Genomic DNA, 23,125 nt, shown 5'->3' with positions numbered 1-23,125 from the left:
CTCCAGATTCTCATCCTTTGCACCGCCCCATTGTAGGTGTTCTGTGGTCTCTTCTTCCTGAGAGCTGTCATCCTCTCTGATGATTGCCGCTGTCAAAGGGGTGTTAGCTGGTATGTTCTCACATGGCCATGCGAGGTGTTCATTTCTGGAATCCTTTCTGGTTGATCAGGCAGTTGTTCTGATAGGTCAGCGTCTTCCCTTTATCCATACTATTTGTGTGTGTGTGTGTGTATATATATATATTTATTATTTTTGAGATGGAGTCTGACTCTGTTGCTCAGGCTGAAGTGCAGTGGCGCAATCTCTGCTCACTACAACGTCTGCCTCCCAGATTCAAGCGCTTCTCTTGCCTCAGCCTCCCAAGTAGCTGGGACTACAGGCACACACCACTATGCCTGGCTAATTGTTTTGTATTTTTAGTAGAGACTAAAAATCTCTGTGAAAGATTTTTGAAAGATTAATGTCATGACAGACTCAGGAACAGAAAGCTTCAGATGGATGGAAGTGGCAGTACAGACTGTTGAAAAGACATCTTGTCCACCTTTGTAAGGCTAGACTATTTGTGGTGTGGATGTCAAGGGGTACCTGGGCAAGTTCAAGGGCACTGCTCAGGGCATACCAGCAACAATGGATTCTCAAAGCACAGGAGGAGGATGAAGGGGACACTCCAGCACAAGCTAGGATTCCATGGTGGAAGCAGCTAAGTAAATGTATTCTTCCAGGAGTGACCTTCCATAGAGATAGTGTCTCTGACCACGCTGAAGCTGAACTGGAGCTGGGCAAGGCAGAGAGGTTCAAATGAAGGGTGACTCCCACTATCACACCAAGCCCCACTGGGCAGCTGACCTGCCTGCCCATCCTCCTCCTCCTTAGACAGAAAACAGCGAATTCCATTCGCCTTTCTGCTCTCAATGAAAGGCTCTCTTTGGGTTCTTTACTAATCTACAATCTGTAAAAGTACTTTCCCTGTGACTTTTCTCCATTTCAGTACTGTCTTCTCTAAATGAGAATTAAAAGCAAGTTCCCCACACCGACCTCAAGTGGTTTCTAAGATAGCAAGAGTGCATTTTGCAGGTTGTCTGAGAATTTAAAAGAGATGGGGGAGGGGAGGAAATAGAGTCAGAGTGAATGCAGAAATGCTGGAGAAGAAAACGGGATATAATACTGCGGAATATTTTAATAGTGGGGACACAAATGTCATAATTAATAAAGCAGGTGGAAAGTTCGCGCTGTGGTGCAATTGTAAAGAATGCTTATTAAATACTTAAAAACAAAGAAAATTTACGTTTCTCAAAAGGACAGCTGAAAAATTCCTTGAGCTAAAATGTGTTGCTATTCAAGATGCCATAAAACTAATGTTAAAATATGATATCTCATTTCAATCTTTTTGGGGGAAAAAATCAGGCTTTGACTCACTCATACGACAGATCCCACGCACCCACCCACCAACATGGCCCTTGGCATGGGCGACCTGCCCACGTGTCGATGCAATCGTGCCTCTCTAGAGCCCTGCTTCCATCCGTTTCCCGAGCTTCGATGTCGTGACGAGAGACCGCGGCTACATCAACCTTGGGCAACCAGATGCAGCCGCGTGCGGCAGCCTGGCACTGCCCGGAGCATGCTCAGTCGGGTCCTGACCCACTTCTGCAGGTCCGACCTCGGGGCGTGGGGTCAGAGGCACTACTTTGCCAGTTTGCCAGGAACAGAGAGGAGCAGAGAGACTGAGAGTTGCTAAAGCTCCTCTCTTGGCACAGCAATGCCTGACCCGGCGGCGGAACATGCCCAGTCTGGCTGCCGGAGCCGCCGGGAGCGTCAATGTGGAAAGTCCACCTTTCCGGGTTTTCGCAGCAACCCACCGGGAAGAGGGCGGTACGGGAGTAAAAAGGCCGGAGTGGGGTGTGGCCAAGAGGGCGGGCACTAAAAAGCCGGGGGAAGGAGCCTGGTCCCGCCCCAGAAATTGAGAGTCTCTGTTCTCTTTTAAAATTAAAAAAAAAAAAAAAAAAAGGGAGATAAGGAGGAGAAGAAGCCACTAACATTGCAGGATCGTGTAGCGAAACTTCTGTAGGTACTTAATAATTTTAGAGTACTCTACTTTTTAATTAAAAAATCAACTTATGGTTCATTAGAAAAAACGTGGAAATTACAAATAATATTTTTAAAGAAAATGAAAAAAAAATTCCTGGAACCCCACCACTCAGAAAGTCACCAGGGAACGGCCCGCTGGGTTTTTTTCCAGACTCTTCCATCTGTGGACTTTGCTTTAAGAGACGTTTAAGACTTACAGCGCAGTCGCCCGGGAAGGCCTGAGAAGCTTTCGGAAGCAAGGTGGTTTGCTCGTGATTGCATTTGATTGCAAGGAGACAGGGTAGGCTTGGGGGTGGGTTGACTGGTTCCCATTTAGCGCCCCAGGATGGGACCCTAAGAAGCCTTTTCCTGGGTGTCCTTGAACACGCGTGCGATGCGACGCCCACAGAAGTTGCGGTGGAAGCCCCGGGCGGGAGAGAGAGCGGAGTGAGAGTCCCGCGCTGCCGCGGAGGCCCTGGGCCTGCGGGTGTGGGGCTCTGGGGGCCGCCGAGGCCCGGCCCAGAGGCTGAGCGGACTGAATGCGGGACTCCCCGGCAACTACAGCCTCCGGTGGCTCCTCCGCGGGGCCGCTCCGCAGCACCGACTGGCTCGCGCCGCACCGCCCGCCCCGCTGCCCCCGCCCGCGGCTGCCGCGAAAACCCGGCGGCTACACCCGCGCCTCCGCGCCGCCCGGCGAGCCGCACTGGGCATGCTCGGCCCCGGCCGGCCCAGGCTCCTGTAGGTGGGAAGCTCCGCGCTCCCGGCAGCCGGCGGCGCAGCTCGCAACGCTGTGAGGCGCCGGCGGAGGCGGCTCGCCCGCAGTAGGCGCTACCGGGCGTCCGGCGCAGAGTGCGGCGCAGCGGCCGCTGTCGGGCTGGCCATGGCGAGGGGTGCACGGCGGCCACCTGAGTGGCGCGGCGGTGTCAGGTTAGCGGGGGCCCCCGGCGGGCCGGGGCGGAGGGGCACGGGTGGGAGCCAGCCCCGCACCGGGTCGGCGGCCGAGTCGGCGCCGGGGCCGCCGAACTTTCGGGTGTTTGGGCTGGCTGAGACTGCGGCGGAGGCTGCGCTGCGAGACGCCGCAGGGTCCGGGCAGCGGGCTCCAGGGGGTCGCAGGATGCTTCGAGATCCGTGCGGGGCGGGGGCTGGCCGTTTGGGGACTGCCGCATCCTGGGCTCGAACCGTAACCTTCCGAGGGCGAGGAGCGCGGAATCCACTGCCAGCTGCCGGCGAGCCTCCTAGGTGTCGTGGGGGAAGGGGACGCCGAACAGCCGTGGGGGCTTTCGCTGGGCTCTGGATCTCTCTCATCGCTGTGCCTCAGTTTACCCGGACAGGGAGGAGCGTGCGCTGGCCAGGGCTCCGGAGAACGTGAATGCGGGTTCCGCGTCGGGAGGGCGCCGTGTCCTGATGCCGCAGGAGTGCGGGCGGCTGTGGGTGCTGCGAGCCGCCGCCTCGCTACTGAAGCTCTCGGAGTTTGTCGCATTTGACTCCATAACAAGTTGACATCGAATTGCTTCATGGCGTGGAATGGGGAAACGTGCTTCATCGGATTAAAATACAGAGTGATTGCAGAACCGATTTATTTTAAGCTTGATCATTAAGCTGTCTTCTCCAGCCCTGAAAAAAAAACTTGCAAGCTTTATAAAGCAAGGTAGCAAAAAAAGGTTTGTAGGTGTATTATCTGCTCACATTGTAGAAAACAGTTAAGATACGATCGAACTGTCATTATTTTTAAGGATACTTAGCAGAAAAGTTTGGTTACTGTGGCAATCTTTATTTTGCGTTATCTTCGATTTAATGTTAAAAACTTGGAAACCGAGCATTGCAGAAGCTCAGTGTTTTTTGTAGTTTTCTCACTTTTGTTTCTAGATGAAACACATTTTTTTCAGTTGCTACTATGCTGAACATAGTAAAATCCTTCAAGATGAAATACAAGATGGAAAAAAATGTCGTTTCATGAGACCGTAAGTTATAACAGTGTAGTTCTTCTGACATTTTACTTACACAGAAAGTGCAATTTGTAGGTCCCAGTGTGGTTTCTACAGTTGTTTATTCCTAAAACATTTAGTACCATTAACACTATTAGGATTATTGTATCTAATAGGGGCAAGATAAACAATCCTGTTCTAGTGGGAACTAGTTCTGCTAACTAAAGCTAAATTCTCAAGCCTCTTTTCTATAAGTACCACTTAGTGGGTTCAGTTGTTTTATTCATTAAGCTTATTACAAAACAATTGTTTACATTCTTTATAGACCTTAATAGACTTTAGAAATGCATTGACTTTTCATTGAGTTGTGGGTAGGCTTTAAGGTTGGTGCTTGCTTGCAAGCCTGAGATGGCTCCAGCTCTAATTCTGGATACTCTCTGGGGTGATTTCCCCCAGTATAGAGTTGGCTCTGTCCTGTGATGCTGCATAACCGAGGTTTAATAATAGGAAAGGCTTGAAACATCCAGACAACAGCAGTAGCAACAACATGATTACCATTTTTATGAATTAGAACCTGCAGTCCCCCATTTTAGCCAAATAGTCTGGTTGGTGATGTTCACTCATCCTAAATTTATTTCTAAATACATTTATAGAAAAATAAGTTTGAAAACTCCAACACAAATATTGAATAATTGTGCTTCTCTTTTCTATAAAAATGCATCAAGTTTAAAATCTTTCATGAAGTACTGCCTGCATGTACACCTTATCCTGAACAGCAGGTCTCATATCCTCAGGTGACATTCCCCAGTAGAAGTAGCTAGAGTCTCCCCTTAGCCTTGGGTTCTTCCTGACCTGGAGGAAGCAGCAAGGCCTCAGTTTACTTTTTGTGAATGTGAGGTTTAATACAGATCAATAGGCCCCCTTCTCGATCCACAAATCCTAAGTACAAATCCTAAGTATTTTCTCAGTGTTAAGAGACACGATGAAATTTAATCAAAGACTTACTTACATACTGCCCTTGGCTTCAAAAAGTCCACATTTCCCTAACCTAAAACTCAAAAAAACAACAGGAGTTAGGTTGAAAAGGGGTTTTATTACTGCTCATGAAGAAAAAAATAGACTTTGTAGGCATGTTACAAAAAAAGGTGATCATTTCTTCTCTTTTGTAGTTAACTATTGGGTTCTTGCAGCTCACTTGCTAGGCACGTGATTTTTAGGTTTATTTCCATGTGTTTAGATTTCTAGACTGTATGATGTTGTTGGTGACATTAGACATTTACAGCAAATTACTCCCTTTAAAAATAGATCTATCCCCCAATCCCTGTGACCTTAATTTATCCAATTCCTATTTGGCTTGCAATTTAAATACTCGAGGCATTTTAAATTGTGCTTAATTTGGACTTTTTATTCTACTTTTTAATGCAAGAACTTTTAGATACTGGAATACAAATAAATATTGTAGCCAAGTTGCTTTTAACCTCAACACAGCCTAGCCAGATTTGTTAAACAAGTGTTAGTTTTTGGAATTTAGAAATCATGCAGATACTATCACTCCCCTAAGTTGGCATCTAACCCAGCACTTAGGGTGTGACTTGTCTTTCCTAGCCAAGGCCAGGAGGACACTTAAAACTTTGACAATGTTTTCAATCTATGGCATATCACATTGCGGTTAGAAATGGCCTTAAAATGCCAGTGGTTAATTTTAAGTTTGGTATAATACCTCCCTGGCATGGTTGAAAGATGGTTACAAAGGGTTTGGTTGATTATGTCATGGTGTAACCACTTAAGAGCTATCAGAAGTAGTTTATAAGTTATGCTCCAAACAGAAGTCCTGTGAATGTATTGGTCTTGCCTCTGCTTCCACCTGAGGTCTTTACTCATTAAAATATCACATTTTTTTTTTCCACAAACTTTTATAGTTAGACTCCTGAGGCCACAAAAATGAGTAAGAGTAAGTCACAGTCGAGTCAGGGAGATATGCTTGAGGACAAATAAAACACAGTACAGGATGAGTGCTCCAGAGAGGGATGCACATGGGACTGAGGAGGCGGGGAAATGAACCCCGTAGATTGGAGGAGGAGAGGACCTCATGCTTGGAGTGACATTTCCATGGGAAAAGTCATGATATTTCATTAAGGAATGCCCAAAGAATTAGAAGTCTTCTAAGCAGAGTAGACACTCCAGGAAGAAGGAACATCATTGGGATAGGCAGAATAATGCCCCCCACCAAAGGTGTCCACTTTGGAACTTGGCAGATGTGATTGAGTTAAGGGTCTTGCCATGGGGAGGTTATTCAGGATTATACAGGTGGGCCCAATGCACTTCTGTGGTGTGGGAGTTCAACGTGGGTCTTAGTGGGCAAAAGTCAGAGACTCTGCAGGGCCTTGTTCCTTTGGGAAGCCCTAGGGGAGAATCTGTTTCTTTGCCTTTGCCACCTTCTAGAGGCCACCCCCATTCCTTGTTTTGTAGCCCCATCCGTCTTCAAAGCTCAGAGCGGCCAGTCCAATCTTTCTCTTGGGGCATCACTCTGACGCTGACTTCTGCTTCCCTCTTTCACGTGAAAGAACCTTTGTGATTACATTGGGCCCACCTGAATGATGGCTCGTTAAGACCTGTTTGAACTTCCGTGCCCCAGAACTGCAAAATAAATTTATGTTAAATCCCTCAGTCTGTGGAAATCTGTTACAGGAACCATGGAAAGCAAATACAGCCATATCCACTGAAAGGTTTGGTGCAATGGACTAATAGGCAAGGGCAGGAGGAGGGGAACAAAGTGGTCCTTTTACTGTGATGAGCTCAGTGTCATGTGAAGGAGTTTGGATTCTGTCCTATTATAGAGAAAATATGGGAAACCAGAACATGAAATGGAACAGACCGATGCCAGATTTACTTCCTAAAAACACAATGGATAACTAAACCCCAGGTTTCACAGGGCAGCTTGATAAAGGAAGTCCAACAAGAGGTGGTCAGTGGCCAGTAGAGGTCTGGAACCAGCATGCTGTAATTCAGGTCTCTGGATTCATCTGAAATGGCAGCATTTGTATGCATGTATGAAATTAATAGCTTAAAACTTTTACTCACAATAAGAAGGACATCATAAAGCAGAAGAGGCAAGTCACATTTCACTTTGTTTCTGCTCATTGTCCTCTAACAGTAATCAGCTGTTCTGCTGTCTGCGTACCATGCACACGTGAGCAAGGAGCTGTGAAAGCTAAAATTTAACATAATTAACTTGAGAATGATGAGATTTCACATGGGCCAACTCTGACCAGTTGGTAATAGCTGCTTGCAATGTCATGGGCTTGTACTGGTTCAGCTGGGAAAGTGCCACAATCAATCACCAATGTTTGCGATGGGCTCCATATTTGACGTTGGTGTTGGGGGATGTGGGAGTTGACAGCTATAATACTACATAAACTAACTTTTGGGTTTGAATATTAGAAATCTAGTAATTCTTTTCAAACATATTCATTTAGTCTCTCTTATGTACAAGGCCTCAATATCTACCTTGCAAAAATGTGTTGTCTCTTGGTTAAATTGACATCTCTGTGTCCAGAAAACCTAAACTGAAGGATTCTTCTATCTTAGTGTTGTAAGAGTGGCTTTGAATTGAAACTGAACTGCATGTAAGAAAAACAAATTTTTCAGACAATGTGGTAAAAGAAGGCCTGGGTTAGCAGTATCTGACACTGGAAACAACAGTAAGACTTGACTAAAATTTATCCTAATAAAACAAAACTTTATATTGTATAGCTAGCATCCATTTGTATGACTTGATAAGATTTTTACCCAAATGTTCTCATAGAATGATGCAAAAAAAATTGTTTTCTATTGTAAAGTACTAGGTCAGTGTAAACCATTCCCTCGCTCTTAAATCTTAATAGGGAAAAACCAGGTTGTGGTAGCCAGATATTTAGGAGTGAGAACCACCAGGACTCAGTGGTAGAGTTGTACTCTATCTGTGGGCAGGGAAGGAAAGATGGCATTTTAAACAACTCCCATGTAATTAATTGGATTATCTGTGTCAGGCTCTACAGAAGTGCAGAGGGCCCACCTGCTGTGGCCTTTGGAATACTGTGCCCTTAGCTATTCCCAATATTTTTTTTATTGCTCTTTCTCCGAGAGCTTGTACTCTGCTTTCCCTGGGTTCTAACCCGGGTCTCTTGTCTTGCTTGTGGCCCTCTGTGTTCTTTCCGGGTGACTTATTTTTCCTCATGACTGCATCAGTCACCCATGCACCAGTGTCCAGCCTTTCTCAAGCCCATATTCCATCCATTCATTAATTCATTCAACAGGTAGTGACAACCTGAGATTTTAATCTAATGAAGGGTCAAATGTGCAAAAAGATAATTATAGCGAAAATAGGAAGTTATGAGTAAAGGGTGGTGAGAAAAGGAGTGTCTGGGGCTACCTTGGGAGTCTTGGAGGGCTTTTGAACCAAGACCTCAAAGCTAGGGGTTTGCCAGATGTGCAAGGTAAGGAAGGGAACGTGGCTGGAGGTGGTGCCGTGGGGAACTACTGGGAGTTGAGGAAAGAGAACTTGCTGGGGTTGGGGAGATGGGAGGAGGAGGCTCCAGAGATGCAGTCAGGGAGGGGAATGGGAGGAGGGAGGGGGGAGGGGGAGGCTCCAGAGATGCAGTCAGGGAGGTGGATGGGAGTCAGACTGTGAAGAATCACCTAGGTCCTGCGTAGGACTTGAGTTTCACACTGTTGACACAACGAAGACATGGAATATGTTTTAGATCTTTCAGAGTCAGCTGACTCTAGTAATGACATGGTATGTGGATTGGAGGCAGGCAAGACTAGAGGCAGGTCGGCAAGGAAGGAGTCCAGTAGAGATGATGAGCACATAACCCAGGGGAAACCCAGGATGTGGCAGCCCAATATTGAGGAGTGAGAATCATTAGAACTCAGTGATTGATATGTTTCTCAGGGCAGGGAAGGAAAGGGGACATTTTAAACAATGTCTTTATAGTGAACCAGATTCTGTCTCAGGTACAGCAGAAATGTGGAAGGCCCACCTGTCTCGAGGATAGTGGGGTCTGAGCATCTCTCAGGGGTCTTCCTACCAAAGGCAAGACTTTGCAGCACCAGAGAGACTAACTTCCACTGCCTGTGCTTAACCAAAAGGGACTTCAGGCCAGGGAGGAGCTGCAAAGCCCCACACACAGCACCACATGCGAGGGAAGAAGTCGGAACCTTATCACAGGGCACAGACTTTGTAAGAGATACATAAAAGAAGAAATTAACTCCCTGATGGACCCTCAGCTTTTGGACTGAAGCATTGGGGACTTGCTAATGAGACTGAAAGAAAGTTGTTGTGGGTTGGGCTTTCCTAATTCTGGATTGAGACTGTAACTTACTTAGAGGCTGTGCTGAAATTGACTCTAGTCAACAGGAAAGAGGAAAACTTGCTGAACAGATACTGAAGTATAATCCCAACCCCTTCCTTCCACTGAGGATTTGAGTTTGCTGATGGTGTGAGGAAGATCGTAAGGGAAGGGTTTGCTCCTTGAGGAAATAAATGGGTTAGAATAAAGTGCTCCAGAATTGTCCACTTCTGGGACCCACCCAGTTCAGGTGCAGGCTGAGACTAATTCAAATCATTCTCATCGGTTTACGAAAGCAGTACCTCTTAACAAGATAGGATCCATCTGTTCTCGAGTCTCTACCTTTCATATGTGTGTGTATATAGATGAGGTCTCGCTCTGTTGCCCAGGCTGGAGTACAGTGGCATGATCATGGCTCACTGTAGCCTCAAACTCCTGGGCTCAGGTGATCCTCCTACCTCAACCTCTGGAGTAGCTGGGATTACAGGTGCATGCCACCATGCTCAGCTAATTAATTTTTTTGTAGACATGAAGTCTTGCTATGTTGCCCAGGCTGGTCTCAAACTCCTGGCCTCAAGCTATCTCCAGACTCTGCCTCCCAAAGTGCTGGGATTACAGACATGAGCCATTGCACCAGGCTGTATCTGTACCTTTCTGTTCCTTCTTGAAATTAGCAAGGGCTCTATATTTGTGGCAGTAATGACCACCCTGAGGAGACCATCCAACTCCTTTCTTCTCCAAAGGCCAGACGCCCCTGCAAGAAAGTAGGTAGATAAACAGCGACTGTGCTTAAAGATTCAAAACCCGTTTTCCCTGGTCCTAGGCAAGGAAAGGTATTTGAGTGAAGACTAAGTTAGTGTTTGGCTCCCAGCACCTCCTGTTAGGTCTTTACTGCCCAGGATGGCTGTGGATAGCATAAACTCTTGAGTAACCAGTGAGCGTTCTTGCTTCTCAGCTGCTGTTATGAAGTTCATCTTGAAAATTGCTGCTTACCGCTAAAGCTAGGCACTGGGCTTCACTGCCCCACCCCCGGCCAGGCCTGCAGTTCTGTCTAATGACTCCCTGCCATTTCTGCTGGCAGCCCTACGTTGGCGGGAAGGTGTTTTTTTGTTGTTGTTGTCGTTTTGTTTTTCTTCAAGGTTTGGACAATCCTAGATTACTTGGTCTTTGAGTCCAGCTCTGGTTAGAACTTCTCAAAGGTAACCTGTTTTTCTCCATTTCAAAACATTTTTGAGGACCTTGAAATTCATTTCCAGAAAACATCTGAGTATTAACCATCCTTTGCCTTAATGGAGGCTGGTCATTTCTCATTGTGCCTCTGTACCCAGGACGTGCAGTGGACTTCTGATGTCTTCTTGCCTTTGGAAGGCATCTCATCACTACCTCCAAGTTATGGCCGCCTCTCCTCCTTTCACTGGGTTGTTAGTTCTTGTGCCTAAGTAGTGGATCAAATGTTCCAAAGTCCTCTTTATCATTTCTCCTAAGATGCCCCAGAGGCCCTCATCTGGAATAGAATTTCTGAAGGAGTTCCCTGCTGTCCCAGAGCTCTCCAGACAGCCTTGCACAGCAGATCCACTGCATGATGCTTGCAAAAACCAATGCCACCTAGGTTTTTATTACTTGCGTGCCGTGTTTCTTTCTACCCTTATTTGTCTAGACTAAACCATTACTCCTGCTAGGAGAACTGTCTGGTCTCCTTTTATTCATCCTTCAGGTCTTGGCCAACCCCAGGGAACATTCTGTTACCTTCCCAGCTTGGCCTCCTCTGAATTTCTGTGGCATTTACCTAGTTTAGCCCATAATTGCATATTGCTTTGTATGCAGGTGTCACCAAGATTCTAAGCACCTTTGGGGTAAAGGCCTGGTCTTAAACTGTTTTTAATCCCCATAGTAATTGGTACTAAGTGGATAATAGTGGCCTCATAAGTACTTTCAGTTTATTTAATTGATATGACTGGCTCCTAATTGTGTTTATCACTTAGATAAAGGTGACTACCCAGCGGAGAGATGGGAGAGATCACCTGGAAAGTGTGCTCAGCCTAACAGGGCCCCTTTCCATCAAAGCTGAGAGAAAAGCAAAGTGGAAACCACTGAATCCCTATTTTCAGCTTTCTTCTGGTGATTTTGTTTAATTGCAACAATTTGCCGTGTTGTGACACTGAAAAACACTTAGGTGGAAGACTGATCTTAACCACTAAAGTCAGGAAGATTATTAAGATGGAATAAAATTCTGAAAAATATTGCTTTTATGAACAAAATTTTAAAATAATTAGCTACAATGTTATGAGGGTTGCTGAAGCTTTGGTGGGCACTCAGTGACCACCGTGTGCAGGTAACAGGAGCCCTGGACTGAGAGAAGATGTGAGCTCTGCAAGGGACTTTTCCTGCAGTGTTGGTGGCTTGGCCCCAGATTCTTACGCTGTTGTGTGGGCAGAATCACAGGCCTGTCCCAGCCTTAGAGTGGTGCTGAGGCTCTGATGAGATAACATCTGTGGGGGTGTTTTGTAAACCATAAATGCTAGGTGAATTGTAAGGGGAGTTAGTTATCATAGCACTCTTAAGAATTAAATCCAGTAGGGTTTGAATTACAGGATCTCTTCTGATCTGTTTTTCACCGAGATCCAGTTCTTAGTGAAAGAGCCTATAATGACACTTTATGTGGGAGATTCAGGGAAGTGTTCACGATGCAATTCCAGTTTGTGATAATGGGCTGGTAAAGAGGAAGGAGGAAATGCTATTTAACTACCCTCTCCAGTTATTGAGTGCATCTTTTCAAACAGATGAAATTTTATCCTGATGAAAGAGGAAACCCTAGGTGATCTAGTTCCTACGCTGTGAATTTGAATGGTCTTAATCAAACAACCACAGACACAGGAATGAGGGACTGTGCGACATTTTGAAATATAAATTAAGTAGGTGATTGCTTTTCACTTCAACAATAACAAGAGCATACATTTCTGGCATCTCCGCCTCGTCTTCTGTGTTACCCTGAGCCTCTGTTCACAGGCCTGTCTTTATCACCAGCCTCTCAAATTCCACTGTAAGCAAATGATGCATTTCTGAGGACTGACTTAAAGAAATTTTGGGTTATACTTAGTTCTGTGGTTAAAGAACAGACATTTTCCAGAACTGTCTAAGAAATGAATTTGTACCAAAGGCGAGCAGTAAGTTAGTAATAGGTCTATCTTAGAGGGCATATAAGTAGAATAAATTCACTCCGCAGATATTCAAGTGTTTGCTTTGAGCAAAGTGTGTTTCTGAACAGTGGGGATACATCAGTAAACAGCGGCAACGACAGGAGCCCAGCCCTCTAGGAGCTCCCATCCTAATGGGAGCGCAGTATGTAAACACGTAGTAGTTAATGCTGTAAAGACAAAGGCAGGGTCGAGGTAGGTAGAGCATGATGGGGTGGGCACGGTTTCACATAGGTGACCAGGAAGGGCCTCGCTGGTTGAAGGCCTGAGGGTTCCAAAGGAAATGTTCCAGGTATCCCAGAACTCATTTCAGATGGTGGGAATAGTAAGTTCAAGGATGCCGGGGTTTACCCATTTCAGGATTAGCAGAGCCCAGGGAGGCTGATGGGGATTGAGCGAGCGTAGTGAGGTTGGATATGGAGGCTGTGAATCTGTCAGAGGCCTACTGTCAGGCCATAGCAAGGCTGCCTCTGGCTTTTACACTGAATGACGAACTGCTGGAAAAATGTACATTATAATAATTTAAGAATCTTAGCGTTTTATATTCATTATATTTTGAGACATTCTCCATGCACAGATTGTTACTAATCATTAAATAATAATAAAAGTAATGAATGCATGGTGCTAAGCACAATCAACAATATTTGAATACCAACTCTTTTTTTTAATGGGACAATTATGTTAATGATAAAAATTACATTCCCAAATTGCCATAGTAGACTCAAGGCCTCTCTGAATTATCAAGTGAAATGAAGGTTTCAAGGCCCAAAGACACGGGCCTTGGTCAGACCCCCTGTGGAACAGCTCGGATTTACACAACCAGCAGTTCTTGGTCTGAAGAGGAAAGGTTGGGTCCGTGGCATGGCTACAGGCACTAAGTTCACCACCCACTCTTAGTCCAGGTAACAGGGTAAAAGTAGTGAGGCTCAGGCTTCACTCCAGCCTGCTCTGGTGGTGAAGTTGGAGGGAGAAACCTGCAGCTGTGCCCAAGAGGACCGGCCCGTCTTCCATATAGGAAGTCCTGGAGGAATCTGGGCTGATTCACATCTGCAGTGAGATGAGGGCATCTGGAGAGGGTATGAATGGGGGGCGTCCTAATACTTTCAGAGCTTGAATCCATTTACTCCCTCATTTTATTGTCCAGAATGTAAGGGACACACAAGAAGTTGTCTTGCCTATGGAGAACAAGTTCTCACAGGCTGCGTGGCGCACAAGCTGTGTCTGTGGCCATCTGCCAAGTCACAAATGGCTTGGCCATCACAGTGCTTTGCCCCAGTTGTATTTACTGCAATGGAATTTTTAGCAGTGCACCAAGAACTCTCTTGTTCTTTCCCTTTTCTCTTTACCCCTCACCGTTTCTTCCCTTTTCCAACCCCAGTCTTACTCCTGGTTGTCATGATCATACTATGATAGATTTGGAAAGGACCTAAGAGATGGGTCTGAAGCTCGGAGAGATCAACTGACTCCCAGGCGTCATCTCCTAGTAAATAAAAAATGGAGGAAAGGAGTAAGTATCCTCACTCCCAGCTTGTGGGTCTTAATCCTAAAATTCTAAACTCATCTGCTCTTCACACATCACCCCAGAATTTCTGTTCTTGACCTTAACCTCAGAGCCCAACCCATCTCTTATCCCAGGCACCTGATCCTATCCATTTGCTGTATTAAAATCTCAGCTCCACGGCTGCAGGAGACCTGCAGTGAATTCTTCACACTGGCTGTTGCTAAGAACACTCGATGTGTTTCTGTTAGAAGTTATTCTGTGTCTCAGTTGGGTACTATTAATACTATCCTTCAGGCTCATCGTGAGTTGAGTAGCTTTATTATGAGCTGTCCCACCACAAAATAATTAACCACCCTTTGTAAGATTGTATGTGAAATTACCCTCCCAGTTCCAGAAAAGGGAGTTTTGTTTGGCCAGTTGGGAAGCTGTGTGTGCACAATCAAATGTGAGGGAGAGGTAGGAATTGAGAAGGGCTCTTTCATTATCAAGGCCTTGCGGGTTTGCAAACGATCCAGAATTAGCAAGAAAATGTAAACTCACAATTATTTCAGGTCCTGAGTCATATTAGGAAAGCATATTAAGAAGATTGCCCTCTGATTTATAGACAATGTGCTCTGTGGGCTGCAGAGAGGGCAGGGTTTGCTTCCTCCATCCAGGCAGAGCGCGCACAGCCTGGACTTGTGGGCAGGCAGCCAGGGATCAGCACCTCCATAAAGCACCTCCCTGATACATGGCATCTTCTAGCCATTTTTCTAGCCAAAAAAGAGTTCTGACTCACTGATGTGTCCAGGCTTCCAGACATCCATCAGCTCCTGCCTGGTTTCACTCTGAATGTAGGAGCTTCACACTAAATACATCAGGAACTTCTTGGAAAATGGGCTTGAGATCAAATAAAAACAATTGAAAGCTGGCAGAAGTAGTGCCATCTACAGATTAGCAGGTGACATAAATTCACTGGACTAGAATGAAAATTCGAATCTCTACATGCATACTCCAAATGAGTAGGAAGAATGTTTTGAAAGGACATAATTTTTTAAAGGGGGGAGATGTTGGAACAATATTCTAATGAAAAGAAAGACAGCAGCTAGAGATGCTTCTGTACCAGCTTAGGTTGAATATAGACTCTAATAAGGACGGTGTCAAAGATCAAAGAAAAATGTGAATACAGCATTGTAACCCTCTGATGTGCATTGTGATCCGTTTTAGGGATTGGCCTGGCAGCATAAAGGCCCCTGCATCAGTGTGTCTGTCCCATTTCTATTCAGTTTCCAGATTTGGCTAATTCCTTGGATCATCAGATTTCTGGAGAAATGTCTCTCTGATCAATTAAGAATGACCCAATTAATACGATGAGCCATGGTGGTGCCACTGCACTCCAGCCTGGGTAACAGTGAGATGCTATCTTAATATATGAATGAATGAATAAGAATAAGAATTTGACATTATGTGCTCAAACATCAATAAACTCTTCTAAATGATATACCTGTGATTAGAATAGCCTGCACTGCATGTTTCAAGTGCTAGAACAATTTAATAATTGGCTTTATGGAACCAAGAAAACAATCCCAGGTCTGATCTGAGGTTATTATTAGCAGTCATGGTCTTTTTATTTTTTTTCTAAGCCACTAAATTAATTGCATGACCGTATGCAATACCATACCTTCTCTAGGCCTCCATTTTTTAGAGTAAAGAAAAACCTTTATGAAAATACATCCAAGTTTTTCCAAGTCTAATGTTCTAGTTCTGAGAAGAGATGTGTAGACCTGTTTTTATCTTGCTTGATAATTATATATCTATAGAGAACAACCTTTAATGTAATTTTTTCCCTCCTCCTTTATAAGGGTTTGTGGTTCTTTTTCTCTTTAAAAGACTGTAGTAAAGGTCCCTTGAGTATCTCCCTTCTGATGATCAGGCTTAACCAACATTTATGTTTAGTAGGATATCAACAGTATCTCATCTCCATATTAGAGTGATTTTTTAAAATAATGATTTGATGACCCTGGGCAATTTAAACAGTATATTTCTGAGAGCTTTATTTTGTATTATTTTTACTTTTAATCAGAAAAACATACCATGTGAACAAAGTGTGGAGATTCAAGAATAGTTTCTTAATATTATGCCCCATTAAAAATAAAGTTTTATGAAGATGGCATCTCTGGGCCTATAGTTTGTTTTTAAGTTTGAAAAACAGTGATTTAACCCAGATCAGTTTTTGAAAAAGTACGTGCCTTCTGTGTATCAAAAAAAAAATAACAGCATAAAATAAAATTCTGTAGAGGCCGAACATTAGTGTAGTTGGAGTAATAATGTGGTACCCCTCTCAGTTGTTCCATGGGCTTAAACAGCTCATCTGGTGGCTGTTCACAGCAATCCAGCAAGTCTGGGTGTATATTTAGTTCTACCCATTAAGTAGCTGGAAATTATCCTAACACTACACAATTAATAAGTGCGTATTGTACCAAGAATGCCATGAGGTCTCTCCTGAGTCTCACTTTCCTCCTAAGGGCCAACTACTTTAAAAAGACAGGCTCTAATTCTTCTCATGGTGTGCTGCTGTATAGCTCTTAATTTGTGAGTTTTTATATGTAAATGTCATGACTGTGGTTTGTCATCACAACACCCTCCATCAGCCAGGGGTACAGAGAGAGAAGATGGTGAAGCTAGGAGGAGCAGTGAGGAACCAGGCAGGAGCGACCGTGTACTCTGCCAGGTCACTGCTAGCAGACAGGCCCTCATCCAAGAGTGGCAGCAGAGTGCAGAGTGCTGCCCAAGGGAGTGGTTTGTTGAATTTCTTAATTTGTGTATTCTACTGACAGTGCCAGCCATTGGTTTTTAGTAAATGAGACACTTGCTTCCTAAGAGCTGTCTTTATAATCATAGGTGCCACTGGTCAGGAGGTCTTGTACTACTTCAACCTGCTATCAGATAGTCATTCTGTACATTCTAATTCCTGTACCTCTTTGCATCTGCCAACTTCTTTCCTTCCCCACTGCTTTTGGTTCAGGCCCCCGTTCATTTCCTTCCTGGATATTGTATAATACTAGTCTCCTAGCCAGGTCTACATCGCAGCCATATGAGGATCAAGCTGATCTTTGTAAACACAGAACTAGCCCTGTCACTTCTCCTTTTCAAAACCTGTGAGTGCCCCCATCCTTGGCGTTGCATACTATCCGGTCATTTTCTGGGCCAGCCTGCCTTTCCAACCTACTTCCCCCTCCTCTGTTCTTGCACACACCACCTGGCCATCAGTGCCTAATTACAGACATTTCCCCAGGTTCTCTGTAATCGTTTCTTTCAATATTCTATTCCTCTTTTGGGTCAGCTTCTCTCCCCTGGTCCACTTGGGTACTTCTTTAAAGAATCACTTCCAGAAAATTCTTCCTGGCTCATCCAAACTATTAATACTTCCATCTCTTGTCTGGTGCCCCAGTGGATCTTTGACACCCTGTGATGGGCAGCTGTCACACTGTCCTGTAACTGTCGATATATGTTCCTGTGTCCCCTGCCGGATTCTGACAAGAGGGGAGAGTCCTGTGTCCCCTTCCGGATTCTGACAAGAGGGGGAAGGCCTCAACCCCTGGCAGTGCACCCAGCGCAGGTCATTTCTCAGGTAATGCATATCAATTTGGATTGAACTGATCCCCTTTAGATGCTTCTAAAACTAACCTAAAAGCAATGCCCTTTCATACTTTCCTGTGATTATCACATTTGCCATCTGAATTAGGTATTACCTTTGTGTGATTAGAGGCATCAAGAATCTCTGTACAGAAATAGACTCTAGAACATGGACAAGAAAGGGCAAGAAAGGGCAGTATGAATCTCTGTAATAGGACTTTGGGCATTGAGATAGGACTTAACTGATTTATCACTTAAATGATTTGACTCTGGACTGCAGTAATTGCTAAAGGAACATTTTTTTTCCACAGATTTCTTGGCCCTTGACTTTAGATTCCCATATGCGTCTGTTTGTTTTCATGCTGCTAATAAAGACATACCTGAGACTGGGTAATTTATAAAGCAAAGAAGTCTAATTGATTCACAGTTCCACATGGCTGGGGAGGCCTCAGAATCATGGTGGAAGGCAAAGGAGAAGCAAAGGCATGTCTTACACGGCAGCAGGCAAGAAAAGAGCTTGTGCAGGAGAACTCCCATTTATAAAACCGTTAGATCTCGTGAGACTTACTACCACAAGAACAATATGGTGGAAACCACCCCCATGATTCAATTATCTCCACTTGGCCCCACCCTTGACACATGGGGTTTATTACAATTCAAGGTGAGATTTGGGTGGGAACACAGCCAAACCATATCACCATAGTTTATATTCAGAGATCACCCTAATTATCTAAAATTCAGTATAGTTGATGCTTGAACAACATGGGTTAGGGGCACCCACCCCCCCGCAATGCAGTGGGAAATCTGTGTATAATTTTTGACTCCCCAGAACTTAACTACTAATAGCCGGTTGTTGACCAGAAGCCTTTCTGATGACATGAACAGCTCATTAACACATATTTTGTATGCTATGTGTATTATATACCATTTTCCTACAATAAAGTAAGCTAGAGAAAAGACTGTTATTAAGAAAATCTTAAGAAGGAGAAAATATATTTGCCGTTCACTAAGGGGAAGTGGATCATCGTAAATGTCTTCAGCCTCGCCATCTTCAAGTTGAGTAGACTGAGGAGGAGGGGGAGGGGCTGGTCTTGCTGTCTCATAGGTGGTGGATGTGGAAGAGGGGGAAGGAGAGGCAGGCACACTCAGTGTAACTTCTGTTAAAAAAGAAAAAACCTGCATGTAAGTGGACTGAGTGGTTCAGACCCATGCTGTTCAAGAGACTCTATGCTGATCCTGAAAGGTGTTAGGTGGGATAGAATGAGCCAGTGAGAATTTTGTTCTCATTTTTTTTAATCGCAAAAGAAAATATTTTTAATTTTTGTTTAAAAAAGACGTGGATATTTTGAATTCATTATGATATATGGGAAAGGAAGTGGCAGAAACATATTCATAACTGAAATGGCTTGAGTTGACTACCAGTTTTGAAAAGTTAGTATTCATGTCTTAATGAGTATTTTAGTGCCACTTTCCAATTCATATGAAATGGGGCTTCCCTCTCCATGCTTCATGAGTATAACCCTGTGAAGAATGTGTTTTCATCCAGAAGGTAGCTTATGTGCCTGTGGCATCATTCCCACGCAAATTAAAATAGGGGTAACTCTCAGTAGGTGTTGCAACAAAATCCAGTTGTATCACTCTACAAATTATTCATCAGAGTAGTTGGGGCAATACCCAAATTGACTCTGCCAAGAAAAAACAATAATATTCATTTAGTACAAAACACCCCTTACACAAGAGGTCCTTTTCCTTCTAGCTCCAGAAATACATGGGCAACAGTCTTATTGATTATAGGTGGAAAAAGAAGAAATAGGACTGAACAAAGCATTTTATTAAACATTTTTAGATAAAATCCAATGGCTGGGAGGTAGGGAAGGGGTCAAAATAAAGAACATTTGATATTTGCTAAATATTTCTCTTTTGTTCTATTTATAGAAAATAAAGTAGTCTATCAAAGTTTTCCCAAAGATTATGAGGTTTAACAACTTGTCCATTGTAGCTTTTGTTAAGCCCTGGTTTTGAAAGCTGTGGTCTTTGTTCTTGTATTTTGAAGGACTGCATTTTAAGCTGCTGGATTATAGTACTTAGGGTTTACTCTTTGCTGGCTCAAATCCCTTTCACAATGTTAGATTGTTATTTTACTCTTTGCTGGCTCAAATGTCTTTCACAATGTTAGATTGTTATCAACTAAACTTTTTTTTTTTTTTTTTTTTGAGACAGCGTCTTGCTCTGTCGCCCAGGCTGGAGTGCAGTGATGCCATCTCGGCTCACTGTAACCTCCGCCTCCTGGGTTCAAGTGATTCTCCTGCCCCAGCCTCCTGAGTAGCTGGGACTACAGGAGCACACCACCACGCCCGGCTAATTTTTGTATTTTTAGTAGAGATGGGGTTTCACCATATTGGCCAGGCTGGTCTCGAACTCCTGACCTCGTGATCCGCCTGCGTCAGCCTCCCAAAGTGCTAGGATTACAGGCGTGAGCCACCATGTCCAGCTCAACTAAACTTTTCATGGTGCTGTCTGTAAGATCCTAATCCAACAAGCTGAAAAGGTACATTTGCAGAATATTTTGCCAGCGTCCAGAGTCACGTGATATCTTATGTTCTTCAGGCAACACATTGTAATTTGTTCTTAAATAATTGCCGTTGGATTCCATATAAGCATGGCTTCATACAGCAAGTGTGTAAACGTGATTATGGGTGCCTAGCAATAAGGAAATCCTACTGAACTATATGTGCAAGTTTTTGCTATCCAGGAGCTGTCCTTGTAATCGAGAAGGAATTTACTCAAAACAGAAAAGTGCAAGATCATACACCAGGGAGCAGTGTCAAGTTTGGTAGGTGCACATGCGATGGGGTGATGAGAAGGACTAGAAGTTTCTACCCTGTGAGCCATGGGACTCACAGAAAGGGAAAGGCAGAAGAGGGCCTGGATGCTGGATGGGCAGTCAACAAACATCATCTCTAGGTGGCACCCAAGCTGTTCGGTGCCCCTCCTTCCTACCCAACTCCAAGCCCATAGCACCTAGAGAACATATTGAAGTTATCTGTATGTCTTTCCACTACTAGACTGTGAGTGGACATGGTCTGTGGTTTATTGAGCTTTGTGGCACTTCCCATCCCCTAAATCCTGGCAGTGTGCCCGGCACATAATAAATACCTTTTGAAAAATCTGAAGTGAAAGAGTAAATTGAAAGTAAATTCTTACTAAAACTATTAATTCATTAGTGTTAATTCAGTGCTTACTTTGAATCAGTTTTCACAGAATTTTAGAGCAAAACGCTGTGATACAAACAACCTGTAAATGATGCGTTATGTCTTCTGTACCTTAGTGACTTTTCCAGATGGGAGAGGATGGGAATAAAAATGAGGAAGAGGGAAAACATTTTGCTAACTGAAATCCCTGCATAAAACGAAAGTCTCTGCTTCTGTATCTCGTAAGGTCTCTAACGGAACTAGATTCCATTTCAGAACAGTTGGCTGTGTTTCTAGCCCAAAGCACCTACTGACATTATTAAAATATAATAGCACAGCAGTATCCCCTTCTCTTTACTCTGCTAGCACAATGTGTTTGAACGTAGAAAGCCAAATGTGGAGAGCCTCTGTTTGAAAACAGCTCTTGAGATACACACTTTAAAATTCAGTTTGATTTTCCATTTGTGGCATTTTCTTTAACTGGGGGGAAAAGTTATATTTACCACCCATATTTATTAGAACCCATCTCCCAACCTGCCTTGTCTCTGATTCTCCCCTGTGGTATTTAGCCAGGCATCTGCTATGGCTCGGGCACCAGGGAGTCAATAATGAGTGACCCAGCCCCTGCCCTCAACATGCTCACCACAGAATACACCTAAGGGGGCAGCTCATGCATTCTCAGACTTGAGCCCCTGCAAAGGACCCAGTGCTGAAAGTCATTTATAATTATTTATAATTTATAATAACGTTTTAAGCAAAACTCAAGATCTGGCTTTTAGAAGACATAAAAATAGATTGGAGAAGCATCATTTCAATAAAGGATGCTTTATACATTGTGCTAATAATTCTTGTTTATCAAGGCAGCAGTACATAGGTGTTTGGTATACATTTGATTGTGAATCCTTATAATTGTCTTGTACTTGCCCAAGACACACAGCCAGCGAAGGTGGTTATGTCCAGAATCCTGGCCTGGTCTCTCTCAAACCTGAGGCCATGCTCTTCACAGCTATTCTGTATCGAATAGGTCAGCTTTCCAACCACAAAGGAAACCACAAGTTTAGCCAAGTAAAGAAAGACATTTGCAAAGTCATGGCAGGGTGTCTATCATGCCATTGCAGTCTGTGCTATCTCCCTTCGCCACAGGGTTTCAGCTGGTGGCGTAATGTGTTGGCTTCCTAGGGCAGGAAAGCACTCCAGTTTAGTGGGGTTTATGGAAATCTATGGCAAAACAAAACTCTTTTCTTTCCTACTGAAAAAAAATATGATCTGAAGCTAATTTATCATCACCAGGTACCCCTTCAGTGTTGTTGTAGGCAGAATTGAAATAATAACTTCTGCCTTTGAAGAAGGCATGGCTATAGAATTAGAATGAAATGGAGGATAGAGGACTAGGTGAAGGTTAGATCTTTGGACATAGAAGTGCCGCCAACCGTAATGTCTGGTGATGTTCCCCAGCCTGTGGGAGGCAGATGAGATTGAAACCAGGGTGTACATGAGTGACCTGGAGCCCGTAAGTAACAGTAACACAGAGCAGAGAGCGCTAGATGAGGTGGAGCTCAGAGGAGCATGGGAAGTTGAATGAGACAGTAAGGAGCATTCTGGAAGCTATAATGGGTAGTTAGGAGAATGCCAGAGTGATTCTGATGCAGTCCTTCCAAATGCCGGCAGAGCCCAAGCTGTGACCAGTGACGCAGACTGGAAGTCCCGTTTACTGGGAGAGAAGAGGTTAAGGAACACCCAGGTGAACAATTAGGTCCTCCACAATGAAGACAGGTAATGTGGAGGAAAGAGAGCTTGTCATGGTAAGTGAAAGCAGCCTGAATCCATTTTTGCGCTCTATGAAGCAATATATAAATTTAATATAAGAAATATTTGTTCCTATAAAATCTATATGTTTTGATAGCAAAAAACAAAATTATGATTTCTGTGAAAAATATAATTCACATCCGGAACATCTTATGGTTGTGTTTTGTTTAAAAAGTATGTAGGTTTGGCCGGGTGCGGTGGCTCACGCCTGTAATCCCAGCACTTTGAGAGGCCGAGGTGGGTGGATCACCTGAGGTCAGGAGTTCGAGACCAGCCTGGCCAACACGGTGAAACCTCATCTCTACTAAAAATACAAAAATTAGCCAGACATGTTGGTGGGTGCCTGTAATCCCAGCTACTTGGTAGGCTGAGGCAGGAGAATCACTTAAACCTAGGAGGTGAAGGTTGCAGTGAGCCAAGATCGCCCCACTGCACTCTAGCCTGGGCAACAGAGCAAGACTCCCTCTCAAAAAAAAAAAAAAAGTATGTTGATGTTTGT

At 44.2% G+C, this 23,125-nt stretch overlaps 1 protein-coding gene across 10 annotated transcripts in view, besides 5 other annotated features; it reads left to right on the top strand.

The window, feature by feature from the left end:
* Nucleotides 1,605-1,744: an enhancer, noted in NCBI's record as "active region_22146". NCBI's record gives its function as "activates an Ori minimal core promoter by ATAC-STARR-seq in GM12878 lymphoblastoid cells {active_cell/tissue: GM12878}" and the evidence as "EXISTENCE:reporter gene assay evidence [ECO:0000049][PMID:35858748]".
* Nucleotides 1,734-2,453: an enhancer, noted in NCBI's record as "H3K27ac-H3K4me1 hESC enhancer chr4:170947923-170948642 (GRCh37/hg19 assembly coordinates)". NCBI's record gives its function as "activates a minimal SCP1, AML or CMV promoter by ChIP-STARR-seq in naive H9 embryonic stem cells {active_cell/tissue: H9 hESC(naive)}" and the evidence as "EXISTENCE:reporter gene assay evidence [ECO:0000049][PMID:30033119]".
* Nucleotides 1,925-1,994: a silencer, noted in NCBI's record as "silent region_15798". NCBI's record gives its function as "represses an Ori minimal core promoter by ATAC-STARR-seq in GM12878 lymphoblastoid cells {active_cell/tissue: GM12878}" and the evidence as "EXISTENCE:reporter gene assay evidence [ECO:0000049][PMID:35858748]".
* MFAP3L (microfibril associated protein 3 like) overlaps nt 1,948-23,125 on the top strand; it is a 40,676-nt gene continuing 19,498 nt past the window's right edge. For 4 of the 10 annotated variants that reach the window (NM_001301647.2, XM_017008871.2, XM_005263366.4 and 1 more), the window contains exon 1: nt 2,830-2,991. Coding sequence is in view for 6 of the 10 variants with exons in the window: in XM_005263366.4 (XP_005263423.1) it covers nt 2,945-2,991 (47 nt within the window). In the remaining 4 variants the exon portion in view is untranslated. Of the gene's footprint in view, nt 2,366-2,829; nt 2,992-8,628; nt 17,625-22,488; nt 22,623-23,125 lie in introns of those variants that run through there. The other 6 variants (XM_017008867.3, XM_017008865.3, XM_017008864.3 and 3 more) reach the window with 6 other exon arrangements.
* Nucleotides 2,453-2,852: a silencer, noted in NCBI's record as "silent region_15797". NCBI's record gives its function as "represses an Ori minimal core promoter by ATAC-STARR-seq in GM12878 lymphoblastoid cells {active_cell/tissue: GM12878}" and the evidence as "EXISTENCE:reporter gene assay evidence [ECO:0000049][PMID:35858748]".
* Nucleotides 2,933-3,022: a silencer, noted in NCBI's record as "silent region_15796". NCBI's record gives its function as "represses an Ori minimal core promoter by ATAC-STARR-seq in GM12878 lymphoblastoid cells {active_cell/tissue: GM12878}" and the evidence as "EXISTENCE:reporter gene assay evidence [ECO:0000049][PMID:35858748]".

The sequence above is a fragment of the Homo sapiens genome, chromosome 4 (assembly GCF_000001405.40).
Source record: "Homo sapiens chromosome 4, GRCh38.p14 Primary Assembly".
In the NCBI taxonomy this organism is placed as follows: Eukaryota; Metazoa; Chordata; class Mammalia; order Primates; family Hominidae; genus Homo; species Homo sapiens.
Note: the sequence above shows the minus strand (reverse complement) of the source record. Positions and strands in the feature narration are given on the sequence as shown.